General features: G+C 41.9%; 1 protein-coding gene and 1 pseudogene across 2 annotated transcripts in view, besides 1 other annotated feature; one reads left to right on the top strand and one right to left on the bottom strand.

Annotated features, from left to right (window-relative positions):
- The window catches only part of OIT3 (oncoprotein induced transcript 3), a 39,298-nt gene that overhangs the window by 4,662 nt on the left and 21,107 nt on the right, over nt 1–13,529 (bottom strand). The window contains exon 7 of one of the 2 annotated variants that reach the window (NM_152635.3): nt 3,731–4,146. The exons of the other annotated variant lie outside the window; for it this stretch is intronic. Coding sequence (NP_689848.1) covers nt 3,731–4,146 — 416 coding nt within the window. The remainder of the gene's footprint in view (nt 1–3,730; nt 4,147–13,529) is intronic. 2 annotated transcript variants of the gene reach the window in all.
- Nucleotides 9,825–11,057, top strand: NPM1P24 (nucleophosmin 1 pseudogene 24; annotated as a pseudogene).
- Nucleotides 10,208–10,277: an enhancer, noted in NCBI's record as "active region_3553". NCBI's record gives its function as "activates an Ori minimal core promoter by ATAC-STARR-seq in GM12878 lymphoblastoid cells {active_cell/tissue: GM12878}" and the evidence as "EXISTENCE:reporter gene assay evidence [ECO:0000049][PMID:35858748]".

Below are 13,529 nucleotides of genomic sequence, written 5' to 3'. Positions count from 1 at the left end.
CTAGTTCCGAGCACCGAATTCATGTACTGAAAGAAAGTAACAAGGGTATAATGGAATCAAAACTAGTGGCTTATCGAAAACTTGTTCAATGCTTGATTTTGGAATTTAGTATGTTTCTTTTTCCAGTGATTAACTTTCTAGCTATATTTTGCTTAGGCTTGTGTTAAATTATTTTGTATTCTCAGAGCATACGCCAACCAAAATTAAAGGGAAGTGAATCAGATGTGTTCAATATCGGGGAGAACCAACTTGATTTAAATTTAAGCCGAGGACAATGAAAAATCAAAGAAATGAATAATCAAACAATTAATAAATATAAGTAAAATGAGCTATGTTTATTTTAGGTTTGTGGACTAGCCCCAAATTATGATTATTATAAAGACTCATTCAATTATTTACTTGGCAAATATTTAATGACCCTTACCATATGCTAGGAATTGAGGAAGAAGAAAAAGGAAAAAGGATTTTTTAGTTCAAATGGAGAAAGGTGCCAGGAAAGGCTTCATGGAGGAAGTAAACCCTCCATGAATCTCGAAGAACCAGTAAGGATCAGACAGGAAGAAAAGGCGGGGAAGAAGATATCAGGCAGAGGAAACAGCATGCGCAAAGTCAGAAGGGTGTTCAGGAGTGACAGTTTGGGAATTGTCAATAATTCCCTTTGGCAGGAGCAGAAACTCGAGGGGGCTGAGGTCAGAGGGTAATGGCCTATGAGCCATGCCAAGAGCTGGAGGATCTTGCACACATCATTCTTGTACAGCACCACAGACGGGATGATTTGTCTGCTTACAAAGTAGGGCCACACTGCTGTGGTTTTCACATTTTTGCCTATGCTTTTTTCTTCTAGAGCATATATATTTTTTCTCTTCTGTATGTGCTAAGCACTGGCAAAATAAATAGCGCAGCTTCTTAGAACTGTCTAAAATAAAAGTAAATATGGTTGGGCGTGGTGGCTCACGTTTGTAATCCCAGCACTTTGGGAGGCCGAGGCAGGTGGATCACCTGAGGTCAGGAGTTCAAGATCAGCCTGGCCAACACGGCGAAACCCCATCTCTACTAAAAGTACAAAAATCAGTTGGGTGTGGTGGTATATGCCTGTGGTCCCAGCTACTTGGGAGGCTGAGGCACGAGACTTGCTTGAACCTGGGAGGCAGAGGTTGCAGGGGAGCTGAGATTGCGCCACTGCACTCCAGCCTGAGCTACAGAGTGAGACTCTGTCTCAAAAAGGAAATAAAATAAAATAAAATAAAATGGTCCTTCACTAAGAGACTGAATAATGCATATATAAATAAGTTTCACAAGCTCTACTAAGATTGTAGGTTACGTTTTTCTCAGTGAGTTATGATTATATTCTTATTTTTTCAAAAACTAAATATAAGGGGCAGGGGAAAACTTACAGTGAGAAAAATGTTCATTATCTTGATTATTGTGATGGCTTCATGGGTATACACATCAGAACTTGTCAAACTACATGCTTTAAATATGTCTATTTATTGTATGTGAATAGTACTCTACTAAAGTTATTTTTTAAAAAAAGTAAAAAGGAACAAAAATCTATCACTGCAAAAAAAGTAAACCTAGTCCCTGAAAAAAATAAATACAAAATGTTGCTTCTTCTTTTCATGTTAAGGTTTTTTAGAAATCACCTTAGCATGGCAAGAAATCCACATATCTGCAGATGCCCTTTGCTACGGGCCGTCCAGAGTAGCTCAGGATGACAAACTTTCCATATTATGAAAATGAGCTTAAGGAGGCTACAAGAATCTGAGGCTGGAAGCACACCTTCTGAGAAGCAGATTTACTGATCAAAGCTAATAAAGAACCATTAAGAGGTTTTCAGCAGGGATGTGACAAGATCATATTTTGTTTGAATGGATCACCCAGGGGCTCTGTGGAGCTGAGATGTGAAAGGTGAGGTTTTGGAGGCTGTGTTAAGAGGCTGCTTTGCTGTCCAGGTGAAAGATAATGAAGGTGGGAATTAAGACAATAGGAATGGAATAGAGAGGACAGGGTTGGGGCATTGCTATTTGTTAAAAAGCATCTCAGTTGATCCTATGTATATCAAGGGGTGAAATATCACTGCGCAAGAGATTGATAGCAGCAGGTGAAGGCTGGCTGTAGTGAAAAACAAGAGGAGTAAAAGCAGCATAGTAATGTCCAAGAGCCTGCAGGCCACCCAGCAGAGGGCAAGCCCCCGAGGGTGCTGAGCTGCTCGTACTGGACCATTCTCCCTTTGGTTAAGCTGCAGTTCCTGATCCTACCTGAGACTGTGTCCCACCTGACATGGAGAACAAGGAAGAAGCCCATGAGATACTGCTATGAATTTGGGTTTGAGTGTAATTTTCCTGGGAATGTAGGCAATGCCTATGAAAAGGACTAGGTCTCCATCAGTACCTCAGGACACCTACAGATCCCACCAAGGATCCTTAGGAAATACCATGGAACTCTCTTTTGTATAAAACAAGTGCAGGGGCCAAACATGGTGTCTCACACCTATAATCCCAGCACTTTGGGAGGCCAAGGCAGGAGGATCACTTGAGCCCAGGAGTTCAGGACCAGCCTGGGCAACAAAGTGAGACCTCGTCTCTAGAAAAAAAAGAATTAGCTGGGCATGGTCGTGCGCATATGGTCCTGGCTACTTGGGAGGATGAGACAGGAAGATCACTTGAGCCTGAGGATCAAGGTTGCAGTGAGCTGTGTTTGCACCACTGCACTCCAGCCTGGGTGACAGAGCAAGACCCTGCACTGCCCTCCACCCCTGAAAAAAACTAAGCACAAAGCCAAACTGCTATATCTATGTCTTTCTTCTAAAATCTACCAACTATTTCTTCTCTGTCCTTGACTACCAAACTTCTTAAAAGAGGAATTTATGTTTGCTGGCTCCTTGTTCCCTGCACTCTCAGCCACATGAACAGGATCTCACCTCCACCTTCACACATGCTCTGCCATCTCCTAGCAGGTTACTCAATCCTACAGTTTCATCTCTAAATCTGGTGATTCCCTGTCCTTCAGTTCTAGTCCAGACTGTGTTCCTGAGTCTAATTGATAATGCATTTCCACTGAATGCCCACTGAATTTCTCTTCCTAGACATCCTGCAGGTATCTAAAAAATTAAATTATTCAATATGTCATTTTGAATGACCAAATTCAGTATTTTAACCTCAAATCTGCTTTTCTATATACATCTTTTCACCTTGGTTAATGGCATCTAGTCAGTCACCTGGGTTAGACCACTTGGAGCCTTTTTTTTTTTTTTTTTTTTGAGATTTTAGGAGTTTCATTCTTGTCACCCAGGCTGGAGGGCAATGGTGCGATCTTGGCTCACTGCAACCTCCACCTCCCGGGTTCAAGCGATTCTCCTGCCTCAGCCTCTTGAGTAGCTGGGATTACAGGTGCCTGCCACCACACCCAGCTAATTTTTGTATTTTGAGTAGAGACAGGGTTTCACCATGTTGGCCAGGCTGGTCTCGAACTCCTGACCTCAGGTGATCCACCCGCCTTGGCTCCCAAAGTGCTGGGATTACAGGTGTGAACCACTGCACCTGGCCTAGGAGCCACTTTTGACTCTCCTCTCCCTCACTAGTTTTACCTCCAAAATGTCAATAAGTGGTTCCTGAACTAATAAATTGCTGACAGTGGTACCATGCAGTTTTAGTAAATGACTGGGTGTGCTGTGAACTTAGAGGCCGGATGTGAACTAGGGGTGATGAGACCATTCTTGCAGCAGCATTACCCATCCCGGATGAGGTAGTATTTCAGGACCTCGTCGATCTTGGAGGTGGGGGTGGCAAAGCAGCTCTCCACCAAGCTTTCCAAGCCGCTCACGTGCACCACGGGCTCAATGCCAAAGTAGAGGGAGTCACGAAGCTTGAGGGTGGGCAGAGCTTCCCGGTAAGGCTCTTCAAACTCATTGTCCTTGAAGATCTCCAGAGTGAATGGGAAGATCCCATGATTTCGGCTCATGATTTCCAGTGGGGAGTTTCGAAGGTTGGGAACGTATCCTTCAGAAATGGTGTACAGGCGTGGAAACTCGCAGGTCACCGGGATCAGCAGCTTGCTGGTTCGGATGATGAAGTCCCCGCTGCTCCCCGGGGTCTGCTTGGGTAGACCTGTCACGAGGTTGCTGGCCACAATCTTGTCATTCACCACCTGAGCCAGGCCAGGGTGAGGAGAGGAAAGAGATTGTCTGTTTGTTTCTACAGTTTTTTTTCCCCCTCCTCTCACCTTAACATTCTATCTACCTCAAAACACATTAGAGATTTGGTTGCCTAAGGATGAAGTTTTGTTTTGTTTTTTTTTCCCACTGCCCTCCTCTTGTTATCAAGCCATCCTGACTGTTAAGAGTCTTAGCTCTACCAAAACACAGCCAGACTGCTTCTTTAAGTGGGACCCTGATCTGCTCCTTATCTCTGAGGGGGACCTCCCAACTGGGGCCTCCAACCGGCTCTGCCCATATTCTCTGGCAGACAGAGTTTTGATTTCTACCTGGGATGGAGTGCCAAGCGGGAGGGGGAGGCTGTTTGGACAGTTGTTTGGACAACTCAGCCATTCCAGCCTGTGGGGTGTCCAAACTGTCTGAAAGTGGAAGCAGTACCCCAGCATGGCATACCTACTCTAGGAAAGCATGGCCACACTGCTTCTTTAAGCAGGTCCTCGATCCTGTTTCTCCTGGATGAGTGAGATCTCCCAAATGGGGTATCCAGCCACCTCCTATAGGTGTGTTCAGGTCAGCAACAGGTCTGTACCCCACTGGGATGGAGCTCCCAGAGGAAGGGGCAGGCCACCATCTTTGCTGTTTCAGCAACTTAGCTGTTTTAGCCTCCAGACTTTGGAGAGCTCAACCTGAGGAGGGGGAGGTGAAGGAAACGGTACCACAGCACAGTTCAGTTGCTCTATGAAAGCAGGGCTAGACTGCTTCTTTAAGCAGTTCCCTGATCCTTTTCTTCCTGGCTGGGTGAGACCTCCCAACTGGGGTCTCCAACCACCATCTACAGGTATGTTAAGGCTAGCAACAGATCTGTACCCTGCAGGGATGGAGCTCTCAGAGGAAGGGCCAGGCTGCTATCTTTGCTGTTTCACAGCCTTCACTGGTGATACCAGATACTGGAAAATCTGAGGTGACTAGGGACTGGAGCAGATGCCCAGCAAACCACAGCAGCCCTACAGAAAAGTGGCCAGACTGTTAAAATGCCGGGGGGAAAGGCCAGGCACGGTGGCTCACACCTGTAATCCCAGCACTTTGGGGGTCCAAGTCACATGGATCACCTGAAGTCAGGGGTTAGAGACCAGTGGCCAACATGGTGAAACCCCATCTCTACTAAAAAATACACAAAAATTAGCCAAGTGTCATGGCAGGGGCCTGTAATTCCAGCTACTCAAGAGGCTGAGGCAGGAGAATCACTTGAATGCAGGAGACAAAGGTTGCAGTGAGCTGAGATTGCACCACTGCACTCCAGCCTGGGTGACAAGAGCGAGACTCCATCTCAAAAAAAAGTGGGAGAAAAAAACCCCCAAAACCCCATCCAAAGGTCAGCAACATCAAAGTTTGAAGGTAGATAAGCCCTCAAAGATGAGAAAGAATCAGTGCAAGAACACAGAGAACTCAAAAAGCTAGAGTGCCCTCTCTCCTCCAAATGACCGCATCACCACTCCAGCAAGGGTTTGGAATGGGGCTGCAGCTGACATGGCTGAAATAACAGAAGTAGATCTCAGAATGTGGATAAAAACGAACTTCGCTGAGCTAAAGGAGCATGTTCTAACTCAATGCAAGGAAGCTAAAAATCATGATGAAATATTGTAGGAGCTGACAAAGAAAATAGCCAAGATAGAGAAGAACATAACCAACCTGACAGAGCTAAAAAAACACAATACAAGAATTTCATAATGCAATTGCAAGTATTAAAAGCAGAATTGATCAAGCAGAGGAAAGAATCTCAGAGCTTGAAGACTGTCTTTCTGAAATAAGACAGGCAGACAAGAATAGAGAAAAAGGAATAAAAAGGAATGAACAAAACCTCCGAGAAATATGGGATTATGTAAAGAGACTGAATATATGACTGATTGGGGTACCTGAAAGAGCTGGGAGAATAAAACCAATTTGGAAAACATATTTCAAGATATCCATGAGCACTTCCCCAACCCTGCTAGACAGGCCAACATTCAAATTCAGGAAATGCAGAGAACCCCAGTAAGATACTCCACAAGAAAATCATCCCTGAGACACAAAATCTTCAGATTCTCCAAAGTTGAAATGAAAGAAAACATGTTAAGGGCAGCCAGAGAGAAAGGCTAAGTCACCTACAAGGGAAGCCCATCAGACTAACAGTGGACCCTTCAGCAGAAACCCTACAGGCCAGGAGAGACTGGGGGCCAATATTCAACATTCCTAAAGAAAAGAATTTTAACTGGCTGGGTGCAGTGGCTCACACCTGTAGTCCCAGCACTTTGGGAGGCTGAGGCAGGCGGATCACTTGAGGTCAGGAGTTCGAGACCAGCCTGGCCAACATGATGAAACCCCGTCTCTACTAAAAATATAAAAATTAGCCAGGGATGGTGGCACACACCTGTAGTCCCAACTACTCGGGAGGCTGAGGCAAGAGAATCGCTTGAACCTGGGAGGCAGAGGTTGCATGTGCTGAGATCATGCCACTGCATTCCAGCCTGGGAGACAGAGCAAGACTGTCTTAAAAAAAAAAAAAAAAAGAAAGAAAGAAAAGAAAAGAATTTTCAACCCAGAATTTCATATCCAGCCAAACTAAGCTTCATAAGTGAAGAAGAAATAAGATCCTTTTCAGACAAGCAAATGCTGAGGAAATTTGTTACCACCACACCTGCCTTACTGGAGCTCCTGAAGGAAACACTAAATATGCAAAGGTAAAACCACTACCAGCCACTACAAAAACATACTGAAATACACAATGACAGGATCAAATCCACACGTAACAATACTAACCTTAAATGTAAATGGGCTAAATGCCCCAATTAAAAGACACAGAGTGGCAAACTGGATAAAGAGTCCAGACCCATTGGTATGCTGTCTTCAAGAGATCCATCTCACATGCAAAAATACACATAGGCTCAAAGTAAAGGGATTGAGGACAACTTATCAAGCACATGGAAAACAGGAAAAAGCAAGAGTTGCAATCCTAGCTTCCAACAAAACAGACTTTAAACTAGCAAAGATCAAAGAAGACAAAGAAGAATGTCACATAATGATAAAGGGTTCAATTCAACAAGAAGAGCTAACTATCGTAAATATATATGCACCCAACACAGGGGCACCCAGATTCATAAAGCAAGTTTTTAGAGGCCTTCAAAGAGACTTAGATTCCCACACAATAATAGTGGGAGACTTTAACACCCCACTGACAATATTAGATCATCAAGACAGAAATTAACAAAGATATTTAGGACCTGAACTCAGCTCTGGATCAACTGGACTTGATAATTATCTACAGAAGTCTCCACCCCAAAACAACAGAATATACATTCTTCTCATCACCATATGATACTTACTCTAAAATTGATCCATAATTGGAAGTAAAACACTCCTCAGCAAATGCAAAAGAACTGAAATCATAACAGGCTCTCAGATGACAGCACAATCGAATTAGAACTCAAGACTAAGAAATTCACTCAAAACCATACAATTACATGGAAATGTAATAACCTGCTTCTGAATGACTTTTGGGTAAATAATGAAATTAAGCAGAAAACAAGAAGTTCTTTGAAACTAATGAAAACAAAGATACAACATACCAGAATCTCAGGGGCACAGGTTAGGCAGTGTTAAGAGAGAAATTTATAGCACTAAATGCCCACATCAAAAGCTAGAAAGATTTTAAGTTAACAACCCGACATCACAACTAAAAGAACTAGAGAACCAAGAGCAAACAAATCCCAAAGCTAGCAGAAGACAAGAAATAACCAAAATTAGAGGTGAACTGGAAGAGACAGAGACACAAAAAACCATTCAAAAGATCAACAAATCTAGGAGCTGGTTTTTCCAAAAAGTTAATAAAATAGATAGGCCACTAGCTAAACTAATAAGGAAGAAAAGAGAGAAGAATCAAATAAACACAATCAGAAATGATAAGGGGGATAATACCCCTGGCCCCACAGAAATACAAACAACCATCAGAGAATATTATAAACACCTCTATGCATATAAGCTAGAAAATCTAGAAGAAATGGATAAATTCCTGGACACATACACCCTCCCAAGACTGTGAATCCCTGAACAAACCAACAATGAGGCTCTGAAATTGAGGCAGTAATAGCCTACAACCAAAAAAAAGCCCAGGACCAGACAGATTCACAGCTGAATTCTACCCCCTGTACAAAGAAGAGCTGGTACCATTCCTACTGAAACTATTTCAAAAAATTGAAAGGGAGGGACTCTTACTTAAGTCATTCTATGAGGCCAGCATCATCCTGAACCAAAATCTGGCAGAGACACAACAAAAAAAGGAAACCTCAGGCCAATATCCTTGATGAACATTGATGCAAAAATCCTCAACAAAATACTGGCAAACTGAATCCAGCAGCACATCAAAAATCTTATTCACCACGATCAAGTAGGCTTCATCCCCAGGATGCAAGATTGGTTCAACATATGCAAATCAATAAATGTGATTCATCACATAAATAAAACTAAAGGCAAAAACCATATGATTATCTCAACAGATGCAGAAAAGGATTTCAATAAATTTTGGCATCCTTTCATGTTAAAAACGCTCAATAAACTAGGTGTTGAAGGAATATACTTCAAAATAATAAGAGCCATATATGACAAACCCATAGCCAACATCATACTGAATGGGCAAAAGCTGGAAGCATTCCCCTTCAAAACAAGCACAAGACAAAGATGCACTCTCTCACCACTCCTATTCAATATAGTGTTGGAAGTTCTGGCCAGAGCAATCAGGCAAGAGAAAGAAATAAAGGGCATTCAAATAGGAAGAGAGGAGTCAAACTATCCCTGTCTGCAGATGACAAGATTCCATATCTAGAAAACCCTATCATCTCAGCCCAAAAGCTTCTTAAGCTGATAAACAACTTCAGCAGTCTCAGAATACAAAATCAATGGTGCAAAAATGCCGGCATTCTTATATACAAACAACAGTCAAGCCGAGAGCCAAATCACAAATGAACTCCCATTCACAATTGCCACGAAAAGAATAAAATAACTAGGAAAACAGCTAACAAGAGAAGTGAAAGATCTCTAAAAGGAGAACTATAAACCACTGTTTAAAGAAATCAGAGATGACACAAACAAATGGAAATACATAGGAAGAATCAATATTATTAAAATGACCATATTGCCCAAAGCAATTTATAGACTCACTGCTTTCCCATTAAACTACCACTGATATTCTTTGCAGAAAAATCTATTTTAAAATTCATATCGAATCAAAAAAGAGCCTGAATAGCCAAGGCAATCCTAAGCAAAAGAACAAAGCTGGAGGAATCATGCTACCCAACTTCAAATTATGCTACAGGGCTACAGTAATCAAAACAGCATGGTATTGGTACAAGAACAGACACAGATCAATGGAACAGAAAAGAGAACCCAGAAATAAGACTGCACACCTACAACTCTCTGATCTTCAACAAACCTGACAAAAACAAGCAATGAGGAAACGGTGCTGGGATACCTGGCTAACCATATGCAGAAAATTGAAACTGGACCCCTTCCTTACACCATATACGAAAATTAACTCAAGATGGGTTAAAAACTTAAGTGTACCCTGGTGTGATTCTGTCCTGTGCGGCTGTTCTCTTGAGCAGTGGTGGTTTATCTCCATCCGCCTTCTCTCCCACCTAAGTGTGTGCCGCCACCCGATGGAAGATTCGATGGACATGGACATGAGCCTCCTGAGGCCCCAGAACTATCTTTTTGGTTGTGAATTAAGGCTGACAAAGATGATCACTTTAAGGTGGATAATGATGAAGATGAGCACCAGTTATCTTTAAAAACAGTCAGTTTAAGGGCTGGTGCAAAGGACGAATTGCACATTGTTGAAGCAGAGGCAATGAATTACGAAGGCAGTCCAATTAAAGTCACACTGGCAACTTTGAAAATGTCTGTATAGCCAACGGTTTCTCTTGGGGGCTTTGAAATAACACCCCCAGTGATCTTACAGTTGAAGTGTGGTTTAGGGACAGTGCATATTAGTGGACAGCACTTAGTAGCTGTGGAGGAAGATGCAGAGTCAGAAGGTGAAGAGGAGGAGGATGTGAAACTCTTAAGTATAACTGGAAAGCAGTCTGCCCCTGGAGGTGGTAGCAAGGTTCCACAGAAAAAAGTAAAACTTGCTGCTGAGGAAGATGATGATGATGATGATGATGACGATGAAGAAGATGAAGATGATGATGAAGATAATGATGATAATGATGAAGATAATGAGGAAGCTGAAGAAAAAGCACCAGTGAAGAAATCTATACAAGATACTCCAGCCAAAAATGTACAGAAGTCAAATCAGAATGGAAAAGACTCAAAACCATCATCAACACCAAGATCAAAAGGACAAGAATCCTTCAAAAAACAGGAAAAAACTCCTAAAACACCAAAAGGACCTAGTTCTGTAGAAGACATTAAAGCAAAAATGCAAGCAAGTACAGAAAAAGGTGATTCTCTTCCCAAAGTGGCAGCCAAGTTCATCAGTTATGTGAAGAATTGCTTCCGGATGACTGACCAAGAGGCTATTCAAGATCTCTGGCAGTGGAGGAAGTCTCTTTAAGAAAATAGTTTAAACAATTTGTTAAAAATTTTCCATCTTATTTCATTTCTGTAACAGTTGATATCTGGCTGTCCCTTTTATAATGCAGAGTGAGAACTTTCCCTACCATGTTTGATAAATGTTGTCCAGGTTCCATTGCCAAGAATGTGTTGTCCAAAATGCCTGTTTAGTTTTTAAAGATGGAACTCCACCCTTTGCTTTGGTTTAAGTATGTATGGAATGTTATGATAGGACATCGTAGTAGCGGTGGTTGGGCATGGAAACGATGGGGAGACAAAAATATACACATGAAATAAAACTCAGTATTTTAATAAAGTAAAAAAAAAACCTTAAATGTAAAACCCAAAACTATAAAAATCCTGGAAGACAACCTAGGCAGTACCATTGGAGACAGAGGCACAAGCAAAGATTTCATGATGAAGATGCCAAAAGCAATTGCAATAAAAGCAAACATTGGCAAATGGGATCTAATTAAACTAAAGAGCTTCTACACAGCAAAAGAAGCTATCATCAGAGTGAACAGACAACCTACAGAATGGGAGAAAAATTTTTTTCTCTGATGAAGGTCTAATATCCAGCATCTACAAGAAACTTAAAGAAATTTATAAGAAAAAAACATTAAAACGTGGGAAAAGGACATGAGCAGACACGTCTCAAAAGAAGACATACATGTGGCCAACAAGCATATGAAAAAAAAGCTCAACATCACTGATTATTACAGAAATGCAAATCAAAACCACAATGAGATATCATCTCACACCAGTCAGAATGGCTACTATTAAAAAGTCAGAAAATAACATGCTGGTGAGGTTGTGGAGAAAAAGGAATGTTTTTACACTGTTGGTGGGAGTGTAAATTAGTTCAACCATTGTGGAACACCGTGTGGTGCTTCCTCAAAGACCTGAAGACAGAACTACCCTTTGACCTAGCAATGCCATTACTGGGTATATACCCAAAGGATTATAAATCATCCTATTATAAAGACACATGTAATGCACGTGTATGTTTACTGCAGCACTATTCACAAGAGCAAAGACATGGAATCAACCTAAATGCCATCAATGATAGGCTGGGTAAAGAAAATGTGGTACATATACACCATGGAATACTTGCAGCCACAAAAAAAGAATGAGATCATGTCCTTTGCAGGGAGTGGATGGAGCTGGAGGCCATTATCCTTAGCCAACTAACACAGGAACAGAAAACCAAATACCACATGTTCTCACTTATAAGTGGGAGCTAAATGATGAGAACACACTGACACATAGTGTGGAACAGCACACACTGGGGCCTATCAGAGAGTGGAAGGTAGGAGGGGGGAGAGAAGCAGGAAATATAGCTAACGGGTAGTAGGCTTAATACCTGGGTGATGAAATAATCTGTATAACCAACCCCCATGACACACATTTACATATGTAACAAACCTGCACATGCTGCACATGTACCCCTGAACTTAAAATAAAAATAAAAATAAAACTAAGCTTCAAAGACAGTATGGTATACGAGAGTAAGAAATGATCTATGGTCAGGAAGGGATGAGTGCGATGAGAGTAGAACTCATTAGGGGCTGACATCTTTCCTCACCCATCATTCCCATCTTCATTTACCCGCCCTTCAATGCCTCACTCAAACTCATCTCTTCTATGAAGCCCCTCAGGTTTACCATGTACAGTTGATGCCCATTATTCATGGATTTGGTATGTGTGAATTCACCTAGCAGCTAATATTTATGTATAACCCCAAAATCAGTACTCACTATGCTTCTGAGGTTATTCACAGAATGTGCACAGTGGCACATTCCCAGCTGAGGTCCAACAAGGCACCACTGCCTTCTTGTTTTAGCTCTCATTGTAAACCAGGATCCTTTTTGTGATCTACAGAATGGCATGTTTTTTGCATGTTTGTGCTTTCGTGGGAGATTTTGCTGTTTAAAGGGACCCCCAAATGCAGTGCAGATGGGCTATCTAGTGATCCTAAGCACAAGGAGGCTATGAGATCCTTACAGGGAAAATGGGAAAATATGTGTTTGATAAACTCCAGACATGAGTTGCGGTGCTGCTGGCCATGAGTGCAATGTTAATGAATCTATAATGTATGTTAAATAAGGTATCTTTAAACAGAAACACACACAGAACAAGACTGTTAACTGATCAGTTAACAAAAATGTTGCAACCAGAGGATTACAGGAACCTAACCCAGTGTTTCCCCTAGGAGCAATACTTAATTGCTAAAGAAATTAGCTTCAGTATTCCCTAATTTATTGCTTGTGGCAGCTTTGTAGAACATAACTACTGTGAATAACAAGAATCAACTGTAGCTTAAACTCAGATGGCTCTCATTTAGAACTTCTTTCTACCTCCTAATTAGCCCATTATTATACATGGCTTTATATTCTAACTATTGGTATTATACCGCCTAGCTCTTTGTTGTGTACTTTTTAATAAATAAGAAAATAATACCAAAAAAAAAGGGCTGGGCACAGTGGCTTACACCTATAATCCCAGCACTTTGGGGGTCTGAGGCCGGTGGATCACCTGAGGTCAGGAGTTCAAGACCAGCCTGACCAACATGGTGAAACCCCGTCTCTACTAAAGATACAAAAATTAGCCAGGCATGGTGGCAGATGCCTGTAATCCCAGCTACTTGGGAGGCTGAGGCAGGAGAATCGCTTGAACCTGGGAGGCAGAGGTTGCAGTGAGTCAAGATTGTACCATTGCCAGCCTGGGCAACAAAAGCAAAACTCCATCTCAAAATTTAAAAAAAAAAAAGAGTTTTACACACTACTTCTTG

The sequence above is a fragment of the Homo sapiens genome, chromosome 10 (genome assembly GCF_000001405.40).
Source record: "Homo sapiens chromosome 10, GRCh38.p14 Primary Assembly".
Classification (NCBI taxonomy): Eukaryota; Metazoa; Chordata; class Mammalia; order Primates; family Hominidae; genus Homo; species Homo sapiens.
This window is presented reverse-complemented; position numbering and strand designations above follow the sequence as displayed.